Raw genomic sequence first — 8,801 nt, 5'->3', positions numbered from 1 at the left:
TGCAAATAATATGCAATTTCTTCTTTCATATGCATATTTTTTTTGTGACCAGAAACTGGCACCTGCAGACCCACTTATAGTAAGGATGCAATCTTAACTAGGTTCTCTATGTAGAGCACTGACAAGTCCTATAAGGACTGAACACGTAACTCTCACCATGACAACCCCATTCTCCAACCAAGTGGGTTTGGTTTCTTTTTAGTCTCATCAGCATATCTACCTTCTTCTAGCAATATCACAGCCCTTCTTCTTTTAGAAACTGCTTCTTACTTTACTTCAAATGTAGCTCTTGTAGGGCCACCATGTTTTTATATCACCCTGTCCCCAAGGCTAGATTGGTTCAAAAGTGAGCACTGTATTCAAGCCAGGCCAATACAAGTTCTTCTTTCCTCATGACTTTCCTAACTGGCACTGAGTACAAAGCTTCCAATTTGGTGGTGAAACCTGCAGGATGTGATACTTAAGAGTAATTGACAACCATGTTCCCTGGCTCATGGAGGAAGCTAGTATTTTGGGGAAAAGGTAAAGACAACAGGCAGAGAAAAGGTCAAAAAATAATTTAAATAGGGTTTGTCATGGACACTCTCAGCATCCCACCATGAGCCCTCTGATAATCCCTTTAATCATCCTGCGTACTCCTTCCCCAGCTTCTGTGTGCTTTGTCTCTAATGGTCCATACCTGTGATTCTTTTAGGATGTCATCTTTGGGGCTACTAGAGCTCTTTGCCCTGATAGGTGGAGAGAGAAGTGCTTGGGGGTTATGTTTCCCCAGGTGAGAGTGGGGTTTAACTAACTGGTGCAGGTGTATGAAAACCAAACTCCCTTGCCTCTGGTTGGAGCAAACTCTGAGTTATAATTTACACTTCAGAACTCCCTTGTAGGATTTGGTTGACGCTGAGACTTGGCTTGGAACAGCCTCTTGCTTGGCTTCGTACCCTTTTCTGTCATGCTTCTCATGCTCCCTTACTTGTTTCTCTAAGGAGCACTAAAAACACAAACTTAGATGCTCTTCAAGCAAGTTTCTGTCCTTAATAATCCCTGGGACCCTTCAGTACACCTCAGAAGTTTGGTTACTAAGATTCCCAGTGCCATGTCTTTAATTTTTTAAAAATGTTTTCAATTCAAGAATTGGTTTATTTGTGCTAGTCTTTAGTAATCTTCATAGCCACATTTTTATTTCATCAACAGTCATCTCAGACACACCTTCTAACAAGACCGACTTAAAATATTACGACAGGAAACTATGCCTTCAGGAGCATGTTTATTGTGTTTGAGATGATACATCCGGTGCTCTCTGAGCTACAAAGGGTAAAAGGAAATCCTCTCATTACAAACTGACAAAGGTAAAAGGTAAAACATTTTTCACAACAGCATGAACCACATACTCAGAAATTGATCTGGGTTTAATACAAATGACATAATTCCTAGTCATCTACAGCTACTTTTATAAGTTCATACAGATAATGCATTAGGCTAAAACGCACTATAATATTTGGTAGACTTCAGGACCAGTATCCTTAGTACATCACAAAATACATTTTGATATCCCAAAGAAGCAAGACTTGCAAGTAGGCGTTTTCAACATAACTAATCTACAGCTACAAAGTTCTACTCTTGATAGCATTTACCTTTTTGGGGAGTCTCCCAGGCTCCAAAGGATAAAAGCAGAGTAGAATCAGTATAACATATACACAGAAGTCCGTATTGTAAAGACTATAAAGATTTGCAGCACAGTGAGAAGATGCCTTCTGCTCCTTCACACTGCATACAAATTATGTGAATTACGTTGCGTATCTCTTGGTCCTCTGTCTGGCTATCCTGTCGTGTTCTGCTCTGTTGGTCAAATACTGAGTGGCTATGCTTCCAACCAGAGGATCCACAGGGTTGCAGTCCATTAAAAGGGAACAAATAGACAGCAAAACCTTTGAAACAGTCAAAGCGGGACTCCAGTTGTCTTTAAGGATGTCCAGACAGATGACTCCCTGACTGTTGATGTTGCAGTGATCGATTCTGGTGCGGAAAGTAACCTTTGGTGGCTTAAATGGATAATCTGATGAAAATGTGATATCCAGAAAAAACACACCACCTTCATATACAGAACCCAGTGGACCAAGTATAGTTGATCTCCATTCACAAATGTTATCTCCTTTAGGCCCAGCACTGCAATTAGGAGGAGGATCAAGGGTTATTTCAGCTAGCTCCTTCTGAATTTTTTTAGCACTAGTGGATAACTTAGCAGTGGTTTTGCTAGAGAGTTTGGTGTTTTTCTTCTGCTGGGTGGCAGAAGGTTTTCTTTCCTCTTGTTCTTCAGGCTCTGGAGCGGCTGGGTCTCGCTGGTCCGCATCTGAACTGCCACTGCTGGTGCTGGGGCTCTCATCATCGGACCTTTGCCTATCACTGGACATCTTGGTGAAGCTAACTCTTGGAAAACTCGGCCGGCCACCCGCCCGGCCCGCTCGCGCGCCGCTACGGTGTGAGGGAGGGAGAGAGAAAAAAAAACCCTTCCTTAAGGAAATGGACGCAGCTGTTGGGGGAGGGGAGGGGGGAGAGACAAAAAGAAGCTGAGGAGGCTCTGGCCTGGCCGGGGAGTGTGGAACATTGAAAGTCGGAGGGGGTTGGGCAGTGCCTGGCTCCGGCCGGAGGGTGGCGCCGCCCAGCGCCTTCGGAAAAAAGGGGGTGGGGTGGGAGCTCGGCTGAGCGAAGGCGCTAGCTCCGGGCGAGGCGGAGGGGACGCGGGAGACCCCCGCGCGCTGCAGCCTCCCGCCACCGCCGCCGCCGTCCGGTTCGGCTCCCATTTCTTTTAATTTTGAATTGTAAAATGACAAATTATAGTTGTATATATTTATGGGGTACAAAATGATATTATGATTTCTGAATACAATGTGGAATTTTTGAATCAAGCTAATTAATATATTCATCACCTCAAATATGAATCATATTTTGTGGTAAGAACATATGAAATGTACTCTCATTTCAATCCCGTTTCCTCTTCATAAACAAGTTCAAGTAGGGGTTCTGTCATTTTCAACCAAAAGAGATCTGACTAATTCAATAACTGAGACACCAAGTTCAGTGGAATATGATGTGATTCAAAATGGTTATTTTGCTAGATATGTTAATATTAACAGAACATTTGTAGGCTCAACTAAATAAATGGTTTGGCTGGTCTTTATTTTTGAGAGTTGATTACTGAACCCTATGAAAATGATCAAATCAATTTGTACATCTAGATATAGATACATTTACCACTTAACTGCCTTTGAGACAGCACAGTACAGAAAAGTTGGCTCTATTGATCCATGCAGTTTTACAAAAACTACTGTAGCAAAATACTGAGCAGGATATTAATAACATTTCCAATCTTATGATTATAGACAACATGTGATTTGCAATGAATTTCAAAGGCCCGAGAGAAGTTTACTGATGCTAATTATAAGAAACATTTTGACAGCCACCATCTGGTGCAATGCTTAAGTGAATATAAGCTGCTAAAAATGAGTTTAATATGATAACCAGTTTATTGGGCAGGTTACAGAAATATCTCTTTACAAATTATTCAACAGGGATTGAGATCGTTTGCTCTTACTTTTCTAATATTTCCCTCCCAGTTTGAAAGGAGAAAGCACAACCACCAAAGACCCAGCCTAAATGAGTTATAGAGTTGGGACTAATTGGTGCCTGATTAAAGCTATTCAGCCATGACCATGTTGTAAAGTAGAAGCAAAAATGGGACCCTGGCAGAAAAGCCCATAATTACTATGACAAAGAAAGAGCAATCTCAGTGCTAAATTAAAAATGGAATTGTTTTACATTTTCTTGAGAAAGGAGGTTCCATAAGACTGCCTTTGACTCATAAATAATATGAAATTATTAATTATTAAATTTAATATTGGAAAAAGAGGCTTGTGCATCATTCACACATAATCATTAACCATTAATTAATCTACTAACTTCAAAATAATTAACTGACAGCATAGACACAATGCCAATTCACAAACTCAAGCTACACGTTACTGACTTTCAGGCATGCAGACTCTAATTTCCGTAATATTTCTAACAAGAATTGGGGAGGGAGGTGAGTGTGGTCATCTTCCTAATGTGTTTGACTCAGAAATAGCCCTCCCAGGAAAGCAGATTTAAGTTATTAGGCCAATGCCCTATATATGTTTCATTTGCAAATGAAGTACCTTCATGTAAAGATTTCTTTCGGTTCTTCATGTTGTTTTTCACAAGGATTTCACAAGGAAGGAAAACACATTCGATGGTACTAATGCATTTCAGCTATTTGAATTGTGCTTCTATTTATGATCTGGGCTGCTACTTATTCATTCATTCCCTAAATCAACATTTAGTCACCCATATTTTGCAGGCACTGGAGATGCCATAATCACTAAGACAGGGCTTCCCTCATGAAGTTCACAGGCCAGCAATGGAGATAGACAGTACATAACAATCACCAATATGATGTGGTCAATGCTAAAATAGAAATATATGTCTAATCTTAGAACACCTTGGTTGGAAAAAAAGGGGGGAAGAGATGGTAGGTGAAACAAAAGGCATCTAGGAGGGGAAAGATTAACAGACTGAGAAACTCTAAGTAGGTGTTTACTGGAGACTGATAAATATACAGACCCTATGCATCTGGCTAGTCAGCACATGGAGAGCAGAACAGGACCAGCACATTTGCAAGGGAAATTAAATTTGTTTTTGTGCTCCCATGATGCATCCCAGTAGAAGAGCTTATTAATTAGGAAAGTTCTCCTGACCCAGTGGAGAATATGGAATGCATTCAGGGAAACAGAGAGGAAGCTCCATTCTGATGCTGGTTGGCAGTATGGTGGCGGGGCAGGGAGGAGATAATTTGCATACCTTTGTGGTACTTGGGCATTTGGGCTACAGTCCATATATATTATATAAAGGCATAAAGGTAGTCTAAGTCTGGACTGATTAAGTAGCTAGACAGAGCAGACGTCAGAATTTTCAGAATCTGTAAATGGATGGGACAAGGAAAGGAAAGAGGCACATCTCAACATATCCAAAAGAATGAAATTATTTTGAAGAGTTGTAAAATCAAGACAGAAACAATTACCCTCAGAAGCTCAAAAGTGCTACCTACTCTTCCATGTTTATACTATAAATTCCTTATGTCTAAAAACTTCTTCAAATTTCATCTAAGAGTTATTAGGGGTCTCCTATATGAACTTACTGGCAAACCTTTCAATTATAGCCTTGGTTTTCAGAAGAGCATGCTAGAACATACTGGAAGTCATAGGATAAAACTGGCATATTCTCTTAACAATGTCAATTTCACATTATTAAAAATCTTCTAAGATATTTCTATAATAAAACTGTCATGAATATAATGTGGATTTGAATGTAGAATTCATTTAAAAGCTTATGGTGAAACAAAAGTCTTCAAAAAAGATTTGAACTTTCTATAGGTACACTTACACTTTCTCTGCCATTAGGGGAACATTAATGAAGAAATTTGAGAGGCATTTCCTTATTTAATTCTAACAAATGTGTGATGTTCCCTACTTCACACTTGAGGAGATTGAGGCTTACAGAAGTTATTAATTTACCCCAAATTATACAGCTCCCTTAATTAGAAATTTTCCATGGATGTTTAAATTTCAGCCTGAACAGACAAGCAAGATAAAGGCCAATCTTAACTTCTCAGGATATATTATTATATATTAGCACTGACATTTCAAACTGTCATTTTTCCCACTGTTTTTGTCTAAAACAATTAAAAAAACCTTAAAAATCTAAGTGTTCCATATGTACTAAGAACCGGAAACTTTCAAAGCTCCTTGTATCGAACAATTTATGTGTTTAAGATTTGTCCTACCCTTTGAGTTGTCTTTGGAAAAGCAGTGCTTAACTGCTGCCAAAGGGATACCAACTTTTCATGCATCAATTTTACTTGCTCAGGAAGGTTAAGTGATGATCCCAAGCACGCACTACTGGCATGAGTCCATCTAATTTAAGAAAGGCTTAGGGAGTGATTGGCATAACAAGGCAAACCCTCCAAGGAGCTATAGGACACAGATGGAACCTGAGATATAAGTATTAGCTATAAAAGAACTTACCATTTCAAGACCCAAGTCTTTTTCATCTTTGTAACCCAGACACAAGGCAACACCATTGACGTGAAACATTATTATTTTTCAGCAACAGCTCTACAGTTGCTGAGGAATGTATGCAGGATACTGTCTTTTGGCATTCAGTATCTTTATCGACCCACAGTACCTAAAAGACTGGAAATCTAAAAGCTACATTTACCAAACTCCCTTGACACTACAATTCCAGATGTGATATAGGTTCTGCCAACTACATACACTCATAGGCAATATGAAAAGCAGGAGGGAGTTAGAGGCCATTGTCTTCTATGGTCCTTTGGGCATAAAAGTCTGGCCCAACAGGATGATGCTGCATGGATTTCACAATCCCTGTAGTAGTTGCCTGGTCTCTGCATGACAGTCAAATTGGTAGATGACCTTGAAGTCAGCCTAAAGGAGGCCTCTTATTTTGATATCTCAAATTTTTCCAATAGTTTGGTAAATAACTAATTATCTGCGTTACATTTCTTTCTGCTTGAGATACCCAGAGAGATTTATTCCAGGGAACCTGATGAAAATCAGGTCTATAGTACCACCGTGAGTTATTGCTAGTAAAAACGATGCTTAGAAGGCCAAACACAGGAATCTGAAAGTTGTGGAAGTAGATGGGTATTTCCTTCTCATTTTTTGTTGTTTTGTTTAGCTAAGGATTGTGTGTCAATGCCTGCAGGGCTTGTAGTAGGATGGTTGTAAAATGGTTTAGAATGCTGCTCTCTTCGAGGGCTTAGCTGATCTTGGCATCCCGTGAACCCTGAGCAAAATTTAGTCACCTTCACTAGGAAATCCTGTAACCAGAAGTGACATTTTATGCTAATGAGTTTCTCTTTCCAGTGTTGGATTTTTCCCATTGTCACAATATAAGAATCTGTTTGTCTTCTAGGGGTGATTACTTACAACAGTGATTTTATTCAGTTGTATCTCAGATCAAATTCTCAACTCTCATGGTACATTAGTGGGTTCTTAAAAAAAATGATATGCAGGGCCTTACCTCCAGAGGTATAATACAATTGGTTTTGGTGGAATCCAGGCGTCAGCATTTTTTAAACTTTTCCAAAAATGTAGCCAGGGCTGAAAACAACTGAACTGGGCCAAACTGTAACACTGAAGGTGAGCATAACTCACGGAACACTTGCATAGTAAATAGATAAAGCCAATATAAAGGCATGCAAAATGCTCCAGTGATAAATACCCATACAAGTTTAAAGAAGAAGGACTGCAATGAGGCCTGAAGTTGTCCAGAAAGGGGTGATCAGGAAGGAGTAACTAGGGCTGAACTCTGAACAGTGAATGAAATTTGCACAAGTGAAAAAGAGTGAAGGGGTAATCCAGGTAGCAGAAACTGCAAGGATAAAGGAACAAAGCAGGTGTGAGCATGTTATGCAATGTGGACAGTTGAGAGTCAACCAGGCAAGAGGAGGAAGGTAAGAAAGTACAAATTTGGACAAGGTAAAGTGGAGTCAGATTACAGAAGACCTCAGAAGCCAGGCAAAGGAGCCTATGCTGGTAACATTAGGCAATTGGAGGGTCAGTGAAAGGGATGTCCTTGGTTTTCTGTCATGACAGATGGTGCCATCTTTGGCAAAGTAAGATTGCTGAAATCAAAAAGTATTTGAGCTTGATAGTGATAGCTTAGCTCTGAACACAGCAAGTTTCTTAGAATGGGGAAAGATGTTAATATAACTTGGAGTTTAAGCAGCATCAAAATAGTATATCAGCTGTTACTGAGCTGATACTGATTGCTTCAAAATCCTCTATAGCTTTATGGTTACCTTTTACTTGTGGAAGGAAACCAGGGAACAGTAAAAATATGTTGGGGAAGCTTAGTCTTTCCTCATCATAAAACTTCATATTAGTCTAGTTGACATGTGTTGAGGACACTCTCAGTGCTCCACCCAGATACCTTCTGATCCCTTTTGCCATTTCAGTGGATACTTTCTCTGGTTTCTGTGTGCCTTTGTTTCTAACACCTGTACCTCTGGCTCTCTTTAGAGGATGCCCCACAGGCAACTGGATTTGCATCCCCACAGGCAACTGTGAAGAGCCAGAAACATCTAGGATTGATGTTACCCACCAACTGCCCTGCTCCCTGACAGGCCTGCAAAATGGTTGATAGGATGCTGGAGTATGAAAGCCTACCTCCTTTCCTCCAAGTTGAGGCAAAATCTGGAACATAATTTACACTCCAGGGCTCTCCTGCAGGATCAGACTGAAGCTAACTTTCAGGAAGTTTTGTTAAGATTGCAAGCTTGTGTAGCATCCTCTCCTCCTCTTCCTTTCTTCTCCCATTTCCCTGTTAATCACCCCCAGAAACACTTCCTTTTATCATGTGTACAGGAATCCTTGTTTGAGGGTCTCTTCCAGAGAACCCAAACTACAACAGCTCGCTCTGATGAACAAATTGCTCTTACATGCACCACGTTTAATGTCACTTGTGGATTTTTATTGTTCACTCTCCCATGGGATTTTTTTTTTTTTTTTGAGACAGTTTCACTCTGTTGCCCAGGCTGGAGCACAGTGGCATAATCATAACTCACTGCAGCCTCAACCTCACAGGCTCAAGTGATCCTCCCACCTCAGCCTCCTGAGTAGCTGGGGCCACAGGTATGTGCTACCATGCTCAGATAATTTTAAAAATTTTGGTAGAGGTGGGGTCTCCCTATGTTGCCCGGGATGAGATTT

At 40.3% G+C, this 8,801-nt stretch overlaps 1 pseudogene across 1 annotated transcript; it reads right to left on the bottom strand.

Moving 5' to 3' along the window:
* Positions 1–1,249: 1,249 nt before the first annotated feature.
* On the bottom strand, positions 1,250–2,408 carry UBE2E4P (ubiquitin conjugating enzyme E2 E4 pseudogene; annotated as a pseudogene). Its single transcript, NR_110506.1, has one exon. The product of NR_110506.1 is annotated as a ubiquitin conjugating enzyme E2 E4 pseudogene (transcript).
* Positions 2,409–8,801: the final 6,393 nt, after the last annotated feature.

Source organism: Homo sapiens, chromosome X, assembly GCF_000001405.40.
Source record: "Homo sapiens chromosome X, GRCh38.p14 Primary Assembly".
Classification (NCBI taxonomy): Eukaryota; Metazoa; Chordata; class Mammalia; order Primates; family Hominidae; genus Homo; species Homo sapiens.
The sequence above is the reverse complement of the archived record's forward strand: the minus strand, read 5'-3'. Positions and strand labels throughout refer to the sequence as shown.